This window comes from Homo sapiens, chromosome 2 (genome assembly GCF_000001405.40).
Source record: "Homo sapiens chromosome 2, GRCh38.p14 Primary Assembly".
Lineage (NCBI taxonomy): Eukaryota > Metazoa > Chordata > Mammalia > Primates > Hominidae > Homo > Homo sapiens.
Genome location: NC_000002.12, coordinates 115,289,370 through 115,313,169, shown reverse-complemented (window position 1 = coordinate 115,313,169; position 23,800 = coordinate 115,289,370). Strand labels below are relative to the sequence as shown.

The 23,800-nt window shown below is 36.2% G+C and overlaps 1 protein-coding gene across 20 annotated transcripts in view; it reads right to left on the bottom strand.

Annotated features, from left to right (window-relative positions):
- Positions 1–23,800, bottom strand: part of DPP10 (dipeptidyl peptidase like 10) — a 1,403,140-nt gene that overhangs the window by 532,611 nt on the left and 846,729 nt on the right. For 17 of the 20 annotated variants that reach the window (NM_001321910.3, NM_001399849.1, NM_020868.6 and 14 more), the window contains 1 exon segment: positions 3,817–3,931. The exons of the other annotated variants lie outside the window; for them this stretch is intronic. In NM_001321910.3, the coding sequence (NP_001308839.2) occupies positions 3,817–3,841 (25 nt within the window). In that variant the 5' untranslated portion in view covers positions 3,842–3,931. 20 annotated transcript variants of the gene reach the window in all.

Genomic DNA, 23,800 nt, shown 5'->3' with positions numbered 1-23,800 from the left:
CTCACTGCAACCTCTGACTCCCAGGTTCAAGCAATTCTCCTGCCTCAGCCTCCCGAGTAGCTGGGACTACAGGTGCATGCCACCATGCCCGGCTCATTTTTTGTATTTTTAGTAGATATGGGGTTTCACCATGTTGGCCAGGATGGTCTCGAACTCCAGACCTCGTGATCCTCCCACCTCGGCCTCCCAAAGTGCTGGGATTATAGGTGTGAGCCATCGCGTCCGGCCTGACTGCCACTCTTATTGGAAGAGTTGTTCTAGAGGCAGGCCTTGTCCTAAAAGGCCCAGTGTCTTGCTGAATTTCCACAGTCAGAAGCTTCCCCTCCTGACATAGATTCCTCTACTTGGTTGAAAGTTTCCACCTGCTTGACTGGTTTTACTTAGAAAGCTAGGCCTTGAGAACATATTGGTGGACAGAGGGAAGATCAGAGGGATGATGCTGCATGTTTAATTTCCAGCTGGAGGTTTTCTTTATGGCTCTGTTTTAGCACAGCTGAGAGAACTCAAGCCTGAGGGTTAGAAGAGAAAGGCTTGGTGCAGTTGGAGCACTGCAGGCTGACCACAGACGTACACAGCCAGACACACGCAAAATCAAGAGTGTACATGGCCTTGATGGATATTCTTGTTCTCACCCCAAAAGTTAAACAAACTCAGATATTCTTCCTGTCTGATGAGAGAGGCAAGACTAGATCATTTCTAAAAGTTCTTCCAGGCTGAAGACTCAAGTCTTGAGCTGCAAACTATTAGTCTTCTGGCCTTATGTATTACTCTGACATGTTTGGGTTGAGCCCACCGTAAAGGCCATGCGACTACACTGCCATTTTGCTGGGTCACAACTCAAATTTCTAACCACTAGTTGTTATACTTGCCCACTTGATCAATTTACATAATCTTCTAGGCACTTGAGGGCATTGAGTTTGCAGAAAGTATAGAACACTCTCTGTATAAAGTAGGGTGTCTGCTTCCTACAGCAATACCTTTTCCACTCCAGCATTATTATTTTCTTTTTTATTTTATAATGTCCCTACCAATAATAATAGTGAAATCCAAAGACATTTGAACATGTAGTATGTGAAATGCACTTGGTAAACTGTAAATCTAAATAATAATTGTGGGCTGGGTGTGGTGGCTTATGATTGTAATCCCAGCACTTTGGGAGGCCTAGGCAAGAGAACTGCTTGAGACCAGGAGTTCGAGACCAGCCTGGACAACACAGAGAGACCCTATCTCTATAACAATAAGAATAAAACATAACCAGGCATGGTGGTCCCAGCTACTCAGGAGGCTGAGGTGGGAGGATCGCTTGAGCCCGGAAGTTCAAGACTGCAGTGAGCCATGATTGCACCACTGCAGTCCAGCCTGAGCAACAGAGCGAGACCCCATCTTAAAACAAAACATAAATAAATAAATAAATGCCACTTCTATTTATATGATTAATATCATATGAAATTAAGTCTGAGTTGGGGGGCTGTGGTGTTCTAAATATGTGTATTTTCTAAATGTTTGTATTTGTGTAACGGGATTGGAGGTGAAAGTTATAAAATAGCGAAAGTGCAGGGCCAACTACAACAGCACCTAGAATGTGGTGAGAACTCCACAATTACCTATGGGATGAATGAATGCATGAATAATTTGACCCCAGGAGACTAACTTCAGGTTAAATATTTTGTCCCTTTCCGTTTGTCATAACTAAAATTGAAGTCACAGAAGATGTATATTCCTGAGAGGTTTTATACCTTTTCTGGGGAACATTCTTTATATAACACTGCTTGTCATGGTTTCTGGTGGTCAATAAGTACTGAATAATAGCAATCATCAAAGGAATAGCAGCAGCAGTGCTAGGCAGCATGCTAAATAAACTCTTGAACTACATTATCTCATTTTACCTCCATAATAACACTGCAATGTTGGAACTAAATATTATACCCATCATGCAGATGAGTAAAGTGAGAGAGAAGGTTAAATAACTTGCCAAATTGCACAAAACTACTGTATTACAGAGGCAGAACTCAAACTCAGGTATGTCACGCTTGTTCTTGCTTTAACAAATGAATAAGTGCAGGACAAAATGAACTCAATTATGGTTCATCACTGTGGTTTTATACTGGGAAAAATTGAAAAGGGTTGAGCAGAAGTTTAACTTAGTGAGTGCCTCACTCTATGTGGTCTTTGTTGTATCAAACTCTCAAGGACACCAAAATATCACTATGGCCTCAATGAGTAACAAGAAAACCTGAGAAAGTGAATCACTGGGCCAAGGATGCTAGAACCAGGATGAAAGAAAAAGAGTTCAAGAGAAATACACAGGGATTATGACATGAATACCTCCATCTGGCTAATAGCCATCAATAGAAGGCAGCAATGTCGACTCATTCTTTTTTTATAATTATGTTAAACTTCTTGTGTTTAAGTGAAACACCATGCTGAAACTCATCTTCCTGTAACAATGATTCTTGGCATTATGCAGCAACTTAGAGCCATCACATTGCTCAATGACATTGTACTGCAGATGTACAAATGAGGCAGTTAAGAAAAGGTTCCTGGGGAGAATGCCGGATAAGCCAACTTTTACCAGGGAATTTTTTCTTTCTTCCTTTCCAATTACCTTTCTCTCCTCCTTCCTCCCTAGTAGCTCCCTTAATTTCTTTCTCAACCTCTCCACATGTTAACTAACATCTAAAAACTGCATTTTTGGCAGTTTATTTATTTCAATGTCAGTATTTTTCAAAGATGGTATATCTCACGAAGTGTCTCACTGGAACAATTGATACTGCCATTTGTATAATTAGTCACCAAAATTATTTGACTAAATGACTCTGAAAAACAGTTATTGTTAATCATATTTTGTACATCAGGAAATAAGTTCAATGTGTTTAAGGGGCTCATAAAATAACAAAACTAAGACAAACCTGAAGTGGAAATAAATAGCATTCAACAACAGGCTATAATTTAAAAATATCAGTTGATTTTTGGATTCATTCAATCCTATCCCAGAAATGACTATTTTTCATAACACTGTGTCATATGTGGGTGTTTGGTCTTTGAGAAAAACAGTTGGGTGGGTGGGTTGCAGCAACTGCTAAATGTATCTGGAAGACAACTGAAGGAGTTTAAAAGTGATCCCTTTATCTCTGCCTTCCTTATTAGTACCTACTAAAGAGTAATGAATCTCCTGGGTATTGAAATAGTCCCCAGAAAGAAGCACAATGATAATTTCCATATTAGTATTAAACTCTTTAATCTGAAGAACACAGTCCAAAAATCATTGCAGGGGCAATTTGCAAAGTTTCTTTAGATAGGGTAGAAACTTAGAATGTAAAAACTTTAGGAAAGAAAGGAAAAGAAGACACAAGAAATAGGTGTCCAAATTTAGAGGCTTAGATCACTCTCTTTCGATCTGATCTTTTTCCATCAAATCCTGTCTTTCCATTTCCATACAGTTGGGTTATCATCTATATATAGAAACTTCCAGATGCCACTCCCTCATCTTCAACCCACAATAAAAGTCAAATGTCTTCTGCATTTATCAAACTAACACATAGTAAGTCTGTAAGTGGCAATGGAGACCAAAAATCTCCTTGGCATTCTCAACTTACATATTTTACATTTTCAGCTTCCCCAAAATATCCTGCATGATATTTGAACTGCAGAATTACTGTGCCATTTGCAAAATGTCTGATTATGCTTTTTTTCCAAATTCCAACCCATGCTAATGTGCCCTAAGATACCACATATTGCTACCCTCTTAAGGCATTTGAATGCGAAATTATCATCCACAATACCATCCATCATAAGAGAGGAATAAAGACAGATTACCTGGGGTTAAGAGGATGACTGACATAGTGATGAGTGAGCATACAACTAAAATCACCAGCAGAGCAATAGCAATTCCCTTCCAGTTTCTCTGTGGAGGGCTGTTACTTCCCAGTTCCTACCGAGATAGAAAAAAAAGTTTTGTAATTATTCATGCTCCAAGAGAAATGTATTCATAAAGGAATGATTCAGTGCATGGCACAATCACAGTTTGAAAGCTGATTAGAATCCATTTCCTCTTCAGTAGTTCATTTAATTATTCAAAAGTGCACATATTATAAATGGCTATCTTTTGGGGGACAATCTGCTCTCTCTGTGAGATAAACCAGCAGCGTTTTATGCTTGCTGTCCAAAATGTAGATGGTGTAAAAATGCATTGACTATAAACACCAGGATGATAGCCAAAATACTCTGCAAAATAATTATTGAAATAGAGCGAGTCCATTTACATGTATTCTTGCTACAATGGAACCTACAATAAAGATGTAAATGTAAATGTTCTTGAAGCACTACGGGCTACTTTCTAACTGGATGGGGCAAAGACTAGAAATGGGAAAATCATTCAAAATGTCCCTCACTGCAGAGCAGCGCACATTTGTTAACCAAACAGGTCTTTTTTAAACAGTTCTCCCACCACTCATAAAAAAAAAAAAAAAAAAAAAACAGGATTTAGTTAACTAAATTAAATGAGTCCTTCTATACCAGTGGTTAATGACACTGTCTTGCTGGGCAACATGCATGATATTGGAAAAAGGTATGGTTGATGGGGAAAATAAACTTGTACATCTCTCACGATGCATGTGGTAAAGCTATTCATTCCTCCAATGATCTGTGCTCTCCTGTGTTGACTAGATATGTGTGGGCATAATTCACCAAAGCAAAGCACAGACCACAATGATTTGAAATGAAAGTCAGCTTTTTTTGCAATACAGTTTATAAAACACTGAGCTTCTCATTTTTTTCTTCCTACTCCATTTCCCAACTGCTTTTCATCCTTTCTCAATACAGCCTCTTTATTTAGAAATAGCTAACAGATTTGGTGATAAATGAAACAAAATATGAAGATATCCAGCTCACTACATGTGCACAAATCACACCAGAAGCCGTAGAGCCGCTTTGTTGTCAACAAATATAAACAGAATAGAAAACATTTAATAAATTTGTACATGAGTTCCTGTGACTCACAGATTAAAACATTGATGTCAATATTCATATAGTTATTTTGGTATTGAATTGTGCCATAAACCCGGCAGATTTAAAGAACTAGACTCTAAATAAATACAAGAAGAAACCATGCATAGGAGGCATTTTGTTGTTTGTTGTTTCCCTTCTCAGATAAATCGCTCTAAGTTAGTCTTTCATTCTGATAAACCAAATCCAGGAGAGATCAATTCCACTTTTTCTTAAATGACTTGCTCCACACCTCTTTTTCAAATAATGCTTATTATCCAACACTTCTATTCCTCTTGCACTTTAGGATTCTCATTCATATTTTCCACGTAAATCAATACAGTGGGTCCCCCAAATTATCAGCTTTAGAGAAGTGATATAAAGACAGTCAATAGTTGCCTTGTGACCATAAACCCTTATCTGGAATGCAACGTTCCTGCAAGTTTCTAGGTGAGTTTCTTTGTTAGAATGTGTGTGCTGTGATGATTGCTGATTCTCTATAATGATGCCCTACTTCAAGGCTACTCAGAAGGTAGAGTGACAGAACGAGAGAGGCTGCTGCTGTAAATCAAAACCTACAGTGGTCTGAAAGTTGGGAAATACTCATCTCAAGAACTGAGACAGTGAAAAAAAGGGCAGTAACCAACAGCGAATGGGTATCTGGGCCAAGAACCATAAATACTTTCCTATTTATTAACTCTAACAGAAGCAAGCACATATTATTGTTTCACAATGTAAGAACAGGAAAAAGAATAGAAATGTAGCAATTATAACTGACTTTTCAATTCAGTAAGAGAATCAAGAAAAAATTATAAACTGAAATTTACTGATTATGATCTTGATATGCTGTCACTCCAACTCATGACAAACCATTTGAGAAATGACTTTTGACTGTGTTTTTCAGTTTGTGAATATGATAAAACCATGTAATGTCTACCAGACATAGTCTAACAAAGAGTAATAATAGCTTATATATATTATTATGTGTCTGGTATTGAAATATTTTAGATTTGCAATCTCACATAATCCTCAAAATAATCTGGTAAGATTAGTGTCATCTTCACAAATTTGCAGATAAGAAAACGGGATTTGAAGAGATTAGTAACATATCCTTTTATCACTAATAAGTAGGAGAGCTGGAGTTCTAGTTCATAAAATCTGATTATAAAGATCACACTTAACCACTATAATGCCACTTGTAAAGATAAATATTTCTAGAACAAGTACATTAAAGAATCAATAAATCAATAAGTTATTTGGACCCATACATAACTGTACATCAATACTTTTTATTTGGGAAAATTCACAGTAATATGTGGAATTCAGTAATGCTATCCTGAAGTCAGTAATGTTTGCAAATAAATGTATATTTTCCAAGTCACAGCTGGCTACGGAAGTCCACCATTTAAAAAGTGGTAAAACAAATTTGAGCGAGACATATTTTTCTGTTCATAAAGTGATGCACATAAGAATGTGTGGTTCCTCTGAAATGACTCATCAATGCTCAAGGCATATACAAGTCCCTATTTGAGAACTGCTGACTTAATGAATGTAATATAATTCTCCCCTTTCCATCCACCTTATATTCTATTACCATTACATTTCTAAAGCATGGTGTTACTTACGTTACTTTTTTTCTCCAAAGTTCTTTAACATCCCTACACTGGCTAAAGAATCAAACACAAATGTGTCAGTCTAGAAGAATAATTATCTGTATCCACGCTCCCGTTTCCCCAGCCAGCACAATCTGCTTTTGAGAAAGAATCTTGTATTTCATGCTGCTCTGATTACCATTTCCTTACGTTTGCCTCAGATGCTTCAACCTTCACATCACCATTCCATTCCTAATTCTGTTCCATCCAACCCCTTTCATATGCATCCAGTTATAGACACTGTCAGTCATTCAACATCCTGCTCAAATGTCTCTTCTCTTGGGAATTTCTCCTAGTTATGCAAGCCAGATATGACTTTCCTTTCTCTGGAAAGAAAAGTGCCTAAAATACACTGTACCAGTAAGTTTGAATCCAACTCCGCTACTTGAGAGCTAGGAGACTGCAAACACACTTCTAAATTATTCTGAGCCTCAAAATTTTTACCTGAACAACTGGAATAATAATGACAATTATTTTTAAATGTTGGAAGGATTAAAATAAAATAACTCATAAAAAAAACTCTTACCTAAGTATATGATAAGAAAGTTTACACTAAGTGAACTGTTTGGAATGTTCTCCCTCAATATACTTGTACTCTTTCTCATCATTCATTATGTCATGAATGAATGACATCATCATCGTCATAATGATGATGGTGAATGGTAGTGTTGGTGTTGCTTAAAACCATGTATAAAGATCCCTCATATCCCTGTTGGGTTTAAAGTTATTAACTCCTTAATGTAAGAATCACATCTTAGAAAATTTTATTTTTTTTTTAATTTAAAAAAATGTTGTTAGAGAGAGGGTCTTGCTCTGTCACCCAGGCTGGAGTCCCATGGCACAATCATAGCTCACTGAAACCTCAAACTCCTGGGCTCAAGTCATCTTCCTGCCTATGCCTTCTGAGTAGCTAGGATGACAGGCATAGTGCCATCACACACAGTTAATTTTTTAAAATTATTTTTTGTAAAGACGAGGTCTTCTATGTTGCCCAGGCTGATCTCAAACTCCTGGCCTCAAGCAATCCTCCTGTGTCAGTCTCCCAAAGCTCTGGGATTAAAACCATAAGCCACTACACCCAGCCTTAGACAATTTTAGATTCCTTACGTCAGTTAACAATCTCTTGTTCTCTTAATAGGTGCTTAGAAAGTAATTAGCCAGTTAATTAAGTGGTGGTGAAAGTGATCCTGATTGACTTTGTTTTTGATGGCTTTCTACCACCCAACATCTGAAAGCAATCAATTGCACATGCCAGACCAACAGAACAGGTATGATCCTGGGCAGCAGCCTTAGACAAGGAACATGTTAGGAACTTGCAACATGGTCATCTGGATGCTTTGGTCACAGAACAAAGTGCATGTTAGATTATGATATCACAAGGAGGGGGTCTAGAAACTTAGGGGCAAACATTAAATGATCCATAGATGGTGCTACTTTTGTAAATGAGCCCCCCGGTGGATGGATGCATCAGTTGAAACGCTTGTGTTCAACGTCAGATCATATTAAACATTGTGATTGCCTAGAGACACGTTAGTGCTATAGTCCAAACTAAACTGAGTCTGTAACCTAACTATTTACATTACATCTACCAGCAACAAATTACTCATCATCCTTCAGGGAACAGTTTAGTTTACCAGACAAGGCTTACCACTATAAAGATAATTTATCTAAGTCCAAATTCATTTTTTATTTGTTTAGGTGCAAGGAGAAAAATGCTGGGAATAATAAGTAGGAAAAATGCAAGGGTAATACACCATTTTATTTGGCAAAATAAAGAAAAAATCTTAACCAGCGGATTTGCTTTTCTTCATAAGGAAGTAAAGGATACCAAAATTTGTTTTTTTAAGAAATAGTATTCCATTTGTACTTTCCTTTGGAAAACGTCAATGTATTTATCTGCCATATGTATTCTGAAAAGAAATATAATCCATCTATATTGAAATAGTCTGAAAAGCATGACATTTAGAGAAAATACAAGGAAAAATCATTGAGATATTGAAATTATACATCTAGATTGAATGTGGGTGTGTTTTAACAAAAATAGATTTTCTCCAACCACCTGTCTACTTTCTAAGAAGCACAAGGAAGGTTCTTAAAAATATCTGTATTTCCGTGTGAAAAGATGTACTTGGGTTTTTAGCCCTAGAGTGTGAACACTGTTTACGTTCGTTCTTAGCGTCATTCTTAACCCAATCACACCAATCACTCAAAAGCTTATTTACTCACTTTCTTTTATCCCTTCCCTATATTGACTTGCTTCAATACATCTTCACATAGAATCTTAATGTTTTCTCAAAGAAGTTCAATAAAGTTCCTCAAAATTAAAAAAAAAATGGGGTCTCCTCTTCCATCAGTTCACGTTCTGTTAAATAGCTCAAAAGTTTGAACTGTCTTTTAGTTATTTTATTTTACTGATGGTGTTTATATTTTCAACGGTAAGTAATGTCAAATATGGAAAGGTTTGAAATAGTTCAAAGACATTTATGCTGAATAATCCGAAAATATCCTAAAGGAAGTTAAAATATTTTAAGAGTTTCTATATTGTCTCATGATATTAAAGAAACAGCATTTAAGAGTTAAAACTTTAAAAGATACCTGGAATAAACTCCATCTTAAAGAAACATGCTCTTACAACACACCTAAGAAATGTTTAGCCAGCTCTGGCTTGAAAAGCCTTGAGATATAGAAATTCAATTTAAATTTCCTTAAATAATACCATTTACCATTTAACAAAATGTACTGGAGTGTGTTAAGGTTTGGGATACCACACAAGATGAAGCTGGGAATACAAATTAAAATAAGACCTGTTCCCAGTGAGCATAAAGTCTGAGAAAGAATTTTCTAGGCAATAATACAATACAAGGTTAAAAAAAATAAAGGTAAAAGAATAAATCATAAAATTTTGCTATGGGAAATAAAGAAAAAAATTATTAATTTTCTTATATTGATATAAAACATTCACTATGCACATTCAATCAACATCCTATAAAAAAGGTGCTGGATATGCTGGGATTATGTAACTATACAAAATCTAGAATGAAAAAGGAATCAGAGGAGTTTTTTTAAAAGTAGAGAATGTGTATAAAAATACACATGTAGGTATTTGGAAATGTCCACAAAATGTGCATTTCTTTTCCTTCTGGAAAAAATAATTGACAACATTTACAAGCTATATTAGATTAATAAGCATAAAAGGAACTGAGATAACTTTCAAGGAGTTTCCAAAAGAAGAAGGCAAAATCTGATTTTTGCCTCCAAGAAACAAATAACTTTTGCACTATTTAAAATATTTTATAACATATTGAAGGCAGAAAAAAATTCTAAATTTTTATTAAGTTCGTGTCATCTGAATAGTATGTCTGAAAAAAATACCACAAAAAGAAAATTCAAATTCAATTTAAAGAAATAAATGTAATTATACTAAAGACAACTTTAGTCAATTGAATGTAAGAGTTTAGTATAAATAACAAACATTATGGACTATTGTCTAGTATTAGGAGAAACAGTCATGGTTTCCTACAAGACATCAGTTAAGAATACCAATAAAGAAAATATAATCATAGAGATTATTTCTTATATTTAAGTTGCACTTAATACTTACTCCGCCTACTGCTTCTTAAAATTGCTCATTGCTCTCATGCCATTCACAGTTTCCTCATTTATCCTTCTTCTATGATTAGAGGACTCTATGCTGAGTAAAGTAATTTTTTTATAACTTATTACAAGTTACACATTTTTCAAAATTATACTCTTTATAGGTTTATGCTGTTGACCTACATAAGGTTAAATATGCTAAATCATACTGGAATCTGAGCTATGGTACAAAGGCATCAACATCAGCTGGAAGCTTGTTAGAAATGCCAAGCAAGTGTCTTTTGTTGCTCTTTTTTGTTTGTTTTATTTATTTTGTTCCGGGATTGTTTTTCTTGTTTTTGTTTTTGAGATAGGGTCCTGCTCTGGCACAATCATGGCTCACTGTAGTATCAACCTCCTGGGCTCATGTGATCCTCCCACCTCAGCCTCCCAAGTAGCTGGGACCACAGAAATGTACCACTATACCTGGCTACTTTTTTTCTATATATTTTGTGTAGAGATGGGGTCTTGCTATGTTGCCTAAGCTTGGGTTTGTTTTTTTACAATTAATTTGTTTATAAAAGAACTCGCAATTATATGAGTTGCAATTCACATTTATCACTCCCCAATAATTACGATTATTGGTGCACACTTGGATATGGTTTGGATTTGTGGCCCTACCAAAATATCATGGTGGAGAAGGGGCCTAGTGGGATCAACTGGAGAAGGGGCCTGGTGGATGACGGGGGGCAGATTTCCCTCTTGCTCTTCTCATGATAGTGAGTGAGTTCTCACAAGACGTGATGGTTTAAAAGCGTGTGGCACTTCCCCCTTCACTCACTCTCTCTCCTGCTCCGCCATGGTAACATGTATTTGCTTCCCCTTTGCCTTCCACCATGATGGTAAGTTTTCTGAGGCCGTCCAGTCATACTTCCTGTTAAGCCTGTGGAACTGGGAGTCAATTAAACTCTTTTCTTCATAAATTACCTAGTGTCAGATAGTTATTTATAGTAATGTCAAAACGAACTCATACACACTCCTAGATGAATTAACAGTAAATTAGAAACAAAATAAGTATGACAGCTATCCTTAATATATTGTGTGGTGTTAGTTTTACACTTTTAGCATCACGATTTAGAGGTCTAAGACAGGACTAAGCAACTGTGATTCTGGACACATTTAGGGTTAAAAACTACAATAAAGCTACTAAAAAAGACAAAATACAAACAAACAGATTTGATATCAGAAAGATGGCAGATTAGAAAGCTCCAGGTCCTCATTCCTCCACAGGATCATCAAGTAAACTACTAGCGACTCACTAAAACAGCTTTTTGGGAGCTCTGGTAACCAGCCAAATTCACTGCTTTCCAACCAAGTGAATGCCCCATCAAGAAAAAGCCACAGTGAAAAAGGTAGGACATTTCACGGCATTATTGCTTGTGCTTGCGCCACCTTGGAACAGTGAGTGCAGTTAAAAAAAAAAAAAAAAAAAAGTAGCCCACTTTCCAGTATTTTTCTCTCAGGAAGGAAGGAGGGCAGTGGAACTTATTTTGCAAAGTTCTGGCCTGTCTGTGGGCTGCCTGAGGGACTGGTTTCTGTCTTGCCTCAATTGGAGCTCTCAGACGAAAATGAATATATAGTTTGAATCTCAGTTTGGAAGCCATGCAAAACTGTGATGGGTAACATAGTTTGTGAAAACTGCAAGAGTATGCTGACATGCAGAAACTGGGGGCAAGATGTTTGTTAAGGCAAGAGTAGTACAGAGGAACAGCCAAGATTTCACGAAGAAGCAGGGGTGAAACTCTTAGGGACGGATAATAAAACATTTCAAAGCAGCCTTCAAAATAAATAAATAAATAAAAGCAGCCCCGTCTATGGGGAAATTGGGAGAGAACACCACACACACAGGCCCAGGGAAGACACAGACCTAGAAAATGCCTGAGAAAATCTTAAACTTTCATACCGGGCTATTTAGAGAACATCTTCCTCCACACAGTCTACAGTGACTGGAAGAAGTGTCTGATTTTTCAGACACCCAATTTTCAACAAAAGATCACAAGGCATATAAAGAAACAGGGAAATCCAGCCCTTTCAAAAGATCAAAATAAATCTCTGGAAACCAACCTTAAAGAAACAAGGCTTCAGATTTACTAGAGAAAGACTTTAAAACAACTGCCTTAAATACACTCTGAGAGCTAAAGAAAAGTAATGACAAACTAAAGAAAATCAAGAAAATGGTACATGAGAAAACTGAGAGTATTTAAAATGACCCCAAAATTGTAGCTGGGAATTCATATTGTGATATATCTAACAAAACAGTAAAACAGGATTATCATTAATAATCAATAGTAATTCCACTTCTGGTTATATACCCAAAACAATTGAAAGCAGTGATGCAAACAGATATTTGTACACCTCTGTTCACAGAAGCATTATTTACAATAGCCAAAAGGTGGAAACAACCCAGATGATCATTGGTAAATGAAAAGAATAACAAAATGTTGTGTGTATGCCTGTGTGTGTATGTATGAGTATTATGCAGCTTTGAAAATGAAGGAAATCCCGACAGTTGCTACAACATAGATGAACTTTAAAAACACTGTGTTAAGGGGAATAAAGCCAGTCACAAACGGACAAATACTGTATCATTCCACTTAAACGACGTGCGTCGAGTAGTCAAATACTTAGAGACAGAAGGCAGAATGGTAGTTGTTAGGGGCTGAAGAGAGGAAAAAATGGGAAGTTATCTTTTTAATGGTTATGCAGTTTCAGTTTGATAAGATGAAAAAAGTTCTAGAGACGGCTGGTGGTGATGGTTGCACAGCAACGCAAATGTACTTAATGTCAATGAACAGTACTATAATAAAAACATATAAAAACAGCATTTATAATAGCAAAACAATATATTAAATGTCTTTAGAAAGTATTATTGCCCAAAGAGGGAAAACCACAAAATGTTATTAGAGAATTTATAGGACCACTTGAAGGATGTAGAGAATCTTCAAATCCCTGTTAAGGAAAATTCAATGTGGTAAAGATGTCCCTTCTTCCTAGATTAATCTGCAAATTTAAAGTAATTCCAGTGAAAATCCAAATAAAACTTTTTTCTTAATTGATAAAGTGATTTTAAAATTTAGATGGAAAAATAATCATATAAAATAATAATTTTGAAAACAATATCTGTGGATATCAGTTATCAAAATGGAATATAAATCTGTGCTAATGAATAATGTGTGGCATGAATAAGAACAGAAAAATACAGAAGCAAAACTATATTTCACGGAAAAATGTTGCATGCACACAAACACATTAGTTCTATTTTATAGATTGAATTTATATATTTCTTATATATGTCTATATAATTTATAGACAGAATTAGTTATATTTTAATCTCTATTTTCCCACAAGACTTTCATTCTGCAAAGAAGGACAATTAGGGTTGAGCAAAACATTCCAATGAGAAATATCGTGATCTCCATGGAGCCAAGTTAGACAGCCAATTCTTCCATCATCTTACAGTATTTCTTATCAGCATTCCAATCCTTTCACTGCTGAAGCCTCCCACGAGAACATTTTCTTGGCTCCTGTGACACCATACTTTCCTGTTTGTTATTTGCCAGCCACTCTTCCAATTTCTCAAAATTGTGGAGTTGCCCAGAACTTGGTGCTGGCCCATATCTTTTCTTTACATGAACACTATTTCTAGTGATATCATTCAATACCACTTTTTATATTATCCATATTTTCTATCAACCTTATATGTTAATGTTAGGAACAGAATACACGGACAAGATATTTTTAAAAAGAGGGATAGAAACTGAAATTGACCTCTAAATAGACACAAAGCTAAGGGTCTTTCTACAGTTACATTATTCAGACAGACAATCTTCTCCCAATATATGTAAAACATCCTCCATACATATCAAAGTCAGTTGCTATTTAGAGTGCCTACTGCTTCTTAAAATTGCCCATGAGATTCATGCCATTTAGTTTCCTACTTTTACTTTTTCCCATTTCTCTGATGAAAGGACTCCATGCTAAGGAGAGTACATATTTTGATCAAGCCTTCATATTTTTCAAAATTGAGTTTCTTAGTAGGTTACTTCTGTCTACCTATTTAGACAATGCCTTAGCTCAGTGCAGTCCATGGACCAGTAGGATCAGCATCATCTGAAAGCTTGTTGAAAATAAAAATTATTCAGCCCCATCACAGCCCTTCTGAATCTCCAGGGCCAGGGAAGTCCTAACAGCCACTTTTAACAGGCTCTCCAGATGGCTCTACTATGTGCTGAAGTCTGGGAAACAGTCCCCAAGGTCAGTGCTACTCAAAATATGGTCAGCTTCACCCCTGAGTTTATATAAATGCAAATTATTCATCCCCAGCTCAGACCTAGTGAGTTCCTGGGGAGGGAAGGACTGAGCAATCTTTGTTGTACCAAGCTCTCCAGATGATTCCTGTGCACACTCAAATTGGAGAACCCCTACCATACAGATTAAGTCCTGGAGTGACACAGTTCTGAAACTGCTAAAATGAACAATCTTACACTCAGAGGAATTTGGTAGATGCATTACGAGTTAGTGGCTTCGGAATCAGTACACCTGCATTTTAATATCTAATTATCTATTTACTAGCTCTGTTACATACACGGTTGATCTAATCCATTTAAGCATAATTATAAGCCTAACTAGTTATGCCTAACACACATGATCAGGCTTATGAATCTTCCTCCATACGTGTTATTTTCCAAATTATGTTTAAGTCTAAATTGAGTTCTACCAGGTCAGAGACTATTTCACACTCATTTCTGTATCCATAACACCTAGTAAAGCACATACTAAGTATTCACAAAATATTTGGACTGAAGCACTAAGCTCAGATTTATTCCTTAAAGTTAGGAATAGAATCTTTAATCTTGAGGGATGCATTTCAGCATTGTGAGGACTGGCGGATAACTAGCTATCTGCATCTCAAACACAGAGAGAAAAGACATCCCAGGAGTACAGTTGTTGACCCATCCTGGGAACTATAAATTGTGGTTGAAAGAGCACTAAAAGAATGTCAGTGATCTACAGACTGGAACAATAGCCCAAAATTTCTGGGATTGATAAGCCTCTACGGATTACTAACAAGGCAGACCATCATCTTTAAGCTTGATTTCAGGGGATGAGCAGGCTGCATATATAATCTTCTGCTACATTCTGCCTAGAACTAAAGTTCTGCCTAAAGTTCTAGGCAAAACATAGCAGAAGGATCATATTTGCAGCCCAATCATCTAGAAGTAGTTTCTAGTTAACAGACTAGACTCTTGTCCACAAGGAGAGTAGAGAACATAGTTACTTCTCATTGCATTTTCAATGCCAAGCTAAGTTCTTGGTGCACCACGCATCCACTTATATTTATTAAACAGATGAATATAACAAACCCAGAAACTATTTTTGGGCTTAGTATAATATTTATTCTTTATCATCTTGAAGTTACTTTTAGAATGTCAAATATTGATTCTCAATAGCTTTTTACACTTAATTTTATATCAAAGTGTGATATAAAACTCTCTTGACAACAGATAATCTATACCTAATGTGGAATATTCATTGTAGAGCGATAGAAAATAGTAAACTTGGCAGCCTGGTCTGCCCACCTGGGCTGCCCATTAATAATTACTTTTATGATTTAAGATAAGGCTTTCATCTTCCTAGGCATAAAACAGGAACAGCAGTGTGTGCCCAGCTTATGCCATGCAGCATTATCTGATGCAGCCAGCATGTCACAAAACCTACCCCCACTCATTTACTTCGTAGATATAATACAGGCTCATGCTGCTCACATAGAAAATGGAGGGGATACTTGCATACAGTATTTACGAGCTTTCCAAGAAATAATGCAAGTGAAAACTATTTATAAACTGTTTCATCTATATCAATTTAAGTTTTATAACCACATCTCACAAAGTTGAAGAATTAAAAAAACTATACATAATCGTTCTTGAGGATTAACTATTATTGAGTCAAGGAAAGTAGTTCCTCTGAAACAGTCAGTTTTAGAACATCTGTAAACTCTTAAAGAACATGCACATTTTTGAAGTCTTAGTATAGAGTCAGCCTATTACTAATGGAGGGAAGAAGGAATGCATGAAAGAAGAAAGGAAGGAAAGTAGGTAAGGAAGGACTCTAGATGAACTTATTGCACCCAGATAAATGAGAATCTATTTGGGAAGATGAATAATGTATTAAACATCAGAAGAACAAAAGAGAAAATTATATTTTTAAAAATACTCAGCACTGTGGTGCAAGATGCTAAATGTGATAGGATTCAGGAAAGAGAGATCCCTGATGATGTTTGTTAGAAACGCTAAAGATCAAATCTATCCTGGCCGTTTCCCAGTTAAATAAGATCCAGGTCAGAAAGAGCTTAGATCTGAAAGGCAGAAGAAAGTCATCCCAGGCTGAGGAAACCCCCATTCCCCTGCTCTCTCTTCAAGATGAACAAGGTGTGTTTAATGTACTTCCTTTTCTAGTGGTTAAAGGTTGTAATTGCCCAGGAGTCAGGTAAGATGCCAAACATAGGTTAAGAAAATAGTAAAAAGCCATTGGCGAAATACGACTGCATGAAAAGAACAAGTGGCACTGCAGCTTCAAGGTAAGTTCAAAGCCAGCATTACTAATTTGCGCCTGGTAACACCACCGACCTTTAGAGGCCGCCGAGCATCTGGGTGAAAATTTGGCAATTCACCTCATCTCCTTATCTTAACCAACTGCACTTCCTTCACCACCACCACCACCTCCCAAGCCAGAAACCTGGGTCTGATCTGGAGTTTCCTCCCTGCCTCCAGAGCAAGTGCCATTTTTCCTAAGGCTCACCAGAGGAAAAGCTGGGGGCCACAAAGACATAAGCTCTTTCAGTAGATAAATATTTTGCTTTCTTAGGCATCAAAGCCAATACTGAAATAGAAACAAACACATTTGATCTAGTTCAAAAGTTTATTTTTCCACACATTTATTTATTATCACTTATTAACTCTGACAAAATCAAATGTAATAAACTTCTTTGAAAATCAAGAATTCTATTCATTGTAAAACATTTTTATTCTGCCTTGAAAATAGAAGGTATAATCACTTTTTATTTTAAGTTTAAAGATTCCTTGAGTGCAGGAGAAAATTTTTCTAATACCTTCTTTACATACAGAAATCTAATATCATAAAGAGGCAGCTACAGCTAAGACATCAATTTTACAACTTTTTCTCCAAAAGAAAAAAAAGCAGAAATTAATGAAATGAGGCAGAACAGGAACTAAATGTGCTTTTAATTATTTTTATTGCTTTTGCCATTAAAAGTGTTAATAAGTACCATATAGGCATTTAAAAAGGAAAGAAAGAACACATTACATTTCCACTGTAGTAATCAATATTCCTATGCTGCTTTTAATTAGAAATATTAAGAATTTGTGTGTGTTTTAACTTCTCAACTACTCTGTGACGGTTATTAGCCATTTCTAACACATATATACTATGCAATTCAGGAAAAAAGAAGTTAAGCAACATTTGGACCTTTTATTTATATCTGCAGAAAAGTAGTATTCTGGCAATTTTTCAAAAATCCCATGGACCAGGAATAATTAAATAAACTCAAGGTAAGTTATACTATATCTGTGCAAGTATGCATTTCACATCATTTGTGCTCTGCTTAAAGGAGGACTTTTCTGGCTGAAATTTTTGTGTGGGTGAGTAAGGCAATTACTCGCCTCAAAGCCAGTCAGTGTTTCCATTCATTACTGAAGACAGCCTTTTCTTCCCCCTAGTCTTTGTGAATAGAGCAGCCAGTATCTGCAGCAGTCCCCAGAATGTCCTGTCAGTACCGTTAGTTAAAAATAAGCCATCCCTCATACAATTTGAAAAGACGTTTGCTCTAAAAGTTCATTTTGCGTGAATCATTCGATTATGGGTAATTTAAATATAAATTAAGAGTTTTCCTTTGTTTTGCTTTTTAAAAATATTTTCATTCTCCCAGAGAATCCTACCAACCTGTAGGTAGAAAAAATCCTACCAACCTGTGTCTGTGTCGGGAGGAGGGGTTGGGGAGGGACAGCCCATCTGCCAGGAAGAGATAACCAACCTCATGCCTCTCCCTCCTGTAAAATCATTGCCACTTTGGCTGCATGAGAAACATCAATTCATTTTGTAGTGATACTTATTAGCATCATAAAAGCATTCTGAGAATTTGGTCAGGCTTAATAGTTGTCTCAAACTAACTGTAGGCTTTGCCTTCATAAACTACATAGGTGTAAGGATTCCATATTGATAGTCACAATTGATAAGGTTAACAATGCAGTCCTAGTCATTTTTCATTTTGTTCTAGTTTTCAAGAGATTTTTGAAGATAAATTTAAGAACTCTTTTTCAAAGAAGAAAAGTCATAATACCATTTTGGAAGTCCCCTTCCCCCCAAAAAGCAAAAAACAAAAGAAAGAGAGAGTACAAAACAATACCAGTACTTCTAGATGTAAATTTACAAAAGCTAATCCAAAAAAAAACAAAAACAAAAAACAAAAATTTACCTACTTGTGTACGTGAGCTGAATCTCATTTCTTTTGCTCAGTGTATCCATAGTGTTAACGAAGCCTGATATGCATTAGAATTTCAATACACATTTGATAAATACATTCATTAATCTCTAAAAGCAGAAGCATATTTCCCTCCTAGGTCAACCTACTAGTTAAATGCATGCCCACCCACACCATGACTGCCTTTCAAACTTCTTCAGAATGATTCAATGAGGCTCCCAAGGCATCCCTCCCTAGTCTGCTCATGGCATTTGGCTTATCCCTCTGGTAGCACTTAACAAACTACATCTGTTTGTCCAGTTTCAAGTGTCTCTTTCACAAGACTAGATCTTTAATCAATAAATATTCATTGAATCAGGTAGGAATGACTGGCAAAGTATATACACTAACAGACTGAGTGGATTCCTTTATAAGAAAGATATTTCTTGTCTTGTTTTTCATGTTAGAAAATCGCTCATTGTTTATCTCCATCTTTTGACTTGGCTGTCAGGGAAGACAATGAGTATCAAAAACAAAGTACTTCTTTATAGCCTTAGTTTGTTTCTTCGGCAAGAGTAGAGATTTACTGATGTCCATGTTGATTCAGGCTGCAGGGATCAAGCATGAATTTTTACAGGATCATGCAGGGTTTATGACTCTAACATAACTTTCCTTTGTCTCTTTCTCCATCATTCTCTTCCATTAAAAAAAAATCATTTCGTAATACCCATACTGCCTGTCTTTCCACTTACAGGGTACATTACTGTAACGAAGCTCTATGTTACTAAATCACACAGTTTCTGAACAGTTAACATAATTTCTTTTATTCTTCCCTTTCCAGAAGCTCACCTACACCACATGATGGTGTAATAGTGAAAAAAAGAAAGCACTGCCTTCTCAGAGTTGAATCATAAGAAAAAGAACTGTTCCCAGACTACAGAGAAAGGCACTGCCTACGTCACGGTTAACTGAATACATCTATAGAAGCTGTGCAACAATTGGAAGGTGTAAATACCATCATTGCCCTCCCAACTCTTGCCCACTCTGATTTCCATGATATGTGAGTCTCTATGAAGAAATGAATGGATAAGGAAACATTCGGTTCATACTACTAAATACCTTAATCATAAAACTGATTTTTTCTTTCCTGATTTCATGTTCACTCACTCAGCAACTTCTGGATGTTCATTTAGCTTTTCTGAAATACCTGCCAACAGGGACAGAAGGGCCTGACCGCACTGACCCGCATCCTGCCAGCTGCAAGGCCATTTTTCTTTTCTTTATCAATTTATCCTTTGGCACTGTGGCTTACTTGCTAGTCTTTGTGCCCTTGGTTAATGTGAATCTGTACCCTAGAGATGGAACCATTTAATGTGCTTATAAACATCAAAGTTTCTGTGCCCCAAACCTGAGTGCCAGGGCTCATACCTTGGTGAATCCATCAAAATAAATGAAATGTTATGAGAAACGTGGGCAGCCAGCCAGTTGGCTTCACTGAGTGATAGCCTGACCTTGGCGTTCACTTGTCTTTCAAACTGCCACAACAGACACATTTCAAGGATTCGGTCACCATCTTCAGAAGGGTATTTAGCAGTAACACATCCTAATATGCCATGGGACAATGCTCAGATCCTCAGTAAAAGTTAAGTGTTTCAATTGGATAGCCATGTGCTTAGTATCACAGGAAATTATTTTTGGTAAACCAATAGCATCATCAATAACAACAACAATAATAATAGGCTATACTTGTGATGTACTGAGAGTATGCTCCCCAGATTTAAACACATACCACATTGGAGGAAACAGCAGCATGGCAAGGATTTGGCAAGCAGCAGAATAAATTCCAAGTCTGTTCACAGATAATCTATTTTACCTGAACATTTGATGTGTGGAAGTGTTCTATCTAATGCATAAGTTAAAATATGGTGTTTTAAGGTAAGCATTGATTCAGTATGGAGACATGAGAAAAGGTTATGTGGCATGTTTTAAAGACAAAAATTTAGATCCCAAGAATATTTCAAAAGTAGTTTTTCTTGAGTTTCTAGGCTTCTCTGGTACTATTTAGCAAGAAAGTTTAAATAATGCTGTTCTAAAATAAAATCAAAAGAGTTTAGACTATGCATTATAAATAAAAATGACTAGGAAAAAACATAATTGGTTTTATATGTAGTTATGTAGCTTTACAAATATATGAAGTCTACTATAAGGATGTTACTGAAGGGATTCATTCCTATGAAGTTTAGGTGAATACTGGCTTAAAGAGCAGTAATTAAAATTAGACTAGTTACCACTGCACATAGTGAAGGACTGGATACATACATGGCATTATCTAAATGGAATAATTTTTTTCCAGAAATATTTTAGAATAAGACCTGCTGTTGCCTGTATTGGATATTTTAAGAAAGTTCTATTAGAACACAAATGTTTGACCTGAATGAATGCTTAAAATACTTTCCAGTTCTGGGTTTCTCTGATTATGTAAACTTATGGGAAAGGCAATCAATTTTCCTAGGTTTAAGCTTGGGAAAACATAGTCTAAACCATGTAATAGATTTTTAGGGAGCACGTGGTGGCACAGTGCTATGGATCTGTGACATCCAGCAGCCACCCGAGCCTTGGTATTGATGAATGTGTTCAAAAGTAATGAGTCTACAATAAGGATCTGGTCAGTGACCATTCCATCGTCACAAAAGATCAGTTCTGAAAAGCTCATGGATATATAATTCCCAAAAGTTTCCCAGTGGTAGTTATTTCATTCTTAGTGATAAATGGGCTTAGGCATCAACACATCCATCATTCAAATAAAGGTAGTGATGAAAAAAATGTGTAAATAAATTAAATATTGATACACTGGGCATATAAATTGTTTCTGAAGACATGTATTGTGATATGAGTATCTAGCAGAACTGTGCTTCATTCAATATTTAAAGATGAAAGACAAAACACACCATTAATTTACCAGCTATTGGAAATTTGTGGTGGGGAAAATTCAATATGTTATGTTGGTTAGTAAAGCTTAAAGTTAGAATTTTTATGTCTTCAAATTTAATAATGTTCTATTAATGACCTTGAGTATTTAGTCCGGGAAACAGGGAAGAAGTGGTATGTTAGAATGAAGCAGAGGTGGGATGCCATGGCTCACACCAGTAATCTGAGCACTTTGGGAGGTCAAGGCAGGAGAATTGCTTGAGCACAGGAGCTCAAGATCAGCCTGGGAAACACAGGGAGATCTCTGTCTCTACAAAAAATAAAAAATTGGCCAGGCATGGCGGCACATACCTGTAATCCCAGCTACCCTGGAGGCTTAGATGAAAGAAGCTCTTGAGTCTAGGAGGTCGAGGCTGCAGTGAGCTGTGATCACACTATTGCACTCCAGCCTGGGCAACAGAGCGAGACCCTGCCTCAGAAAAATAATAAACTCAGGGACAAAGCCTGATTCCTGTGGTCCCATGACAAACTCTAGCCCATTCTTTGTATGTAAGAGGTAGAAAGATGAGTAGATTAGCAGGGATTACCTTGCCTCAGAGACTGTCAAAATGATTTGCCTTATCTCTGTTTTAAGATAAGACAGAAATATTCTTTGTTGGCCAAATAGAAGAATGTCCTTCATAAGCAATGCTAGAGTGTTAGAGAAGTCAGAGACAATCTTGTTGCAAGTGCATGATTATTGATGCACCATGATTTACAGGGAAAATGAAATGCTTTTCCCCAAAATATATGGTGCATCACCTTAGAGACATGCTAACAAATCCCGTGTCAGCAATACTTTGGGATTAAGACAATCATCTCCACTTAAAGTTTATTTTCAATTTTTCAGCTAGTATTACCTGAATAGGCATTAAGAATTTTCTCACCTTGTCTCAGGTAGCTTTCCTTTTTTAAAGAACATTTCATTATGAAAATGTTCAAATATAAAGGAAAGTTGAGAGAAGTGCACAGTGAACAGCCATGTTCCTAGTGTTAGATTCTAGAATCAATATTTTGTTATATTTGCTTAATCACATATCCACCTGCCTATTTATCCACATATGTATACCTCTATCATCCATTAATCCACCCGTCAATTAATCCATCTTAATTTTGGACACATTTCAAGGTAACTTGAACATTGAAAGCTAACTTATAATTTTGGATGCATTTCAAGACCTCAGTACACTTCACTCCTAAACACCAAGAGGTATAACATTTACTAGATTTCACTCTTTTGTTATAATTTTAAAAATACAATTTACATATCACTTGCCTGCTTTTAATAAAATTATTTGGCCTCTTTTCCTTGTTTATTTGTTTGAATTCCTTGTAGATTCTAGATATTAGTCCTTTGTTGGATGTATAGTTTGCAAACGTTTTCTCCCATTCTGTAGGTTGTCTGTTTACTCTTTTGATTATTTCTTTTGCTGTGCAGAAGTTTTTTAGTTAATTAGGTCCCATTTACTTATGTTTATTTTTGTTGCATTTGCTTTTGGGGTCTCAGGCATAAATTCTTTGCCTAGGCCAATGTCCAGAAAAGTTTCTCCTAGGTTTTATTCTAGAATTTGTAAGGTTTCAGGTCTTAGGTTTACGTCTTTAATCCATCTTGGGTTAATGTGAATATGGTGAGAGATAGGGATCTAGTTTTGTTCTTCCACCTGTGGCTATCCAGTGTTCCCAGAACCAAGTATTGAATAGGGTGTCCTTTCCCCAGTGGATATTTTTGTCTGCTTTGTTGAAAATTAATTGGTTGTAAGTATCTGGCTTTATGTCTGGGTTCTCTATTCTGCTTCATTGGTCTTCGTGTCTACTTTTATACCAGTACTATGCTATTTTGGTTACTATAGTCTGGTAGTACAATTGGAAATGAGTTAATGTGATGCCTCCAGCTTTGCTCTTTTTCTTGGAATTGCTTTGGCTATTTAGGCTCTTTTTTCTTTTCTTTTCTTCCTTTTTTTTTTTTTTTTTTTGGTTTCTTATGAATTTTAGGCTTGTTTTTTCTAATTCTGTGAAAAATGGCATTGGCATTTTGATAAGAATCACACTGAATCTTTGTCCAAAGTAGATTGCTTTGGACAGTATGGCC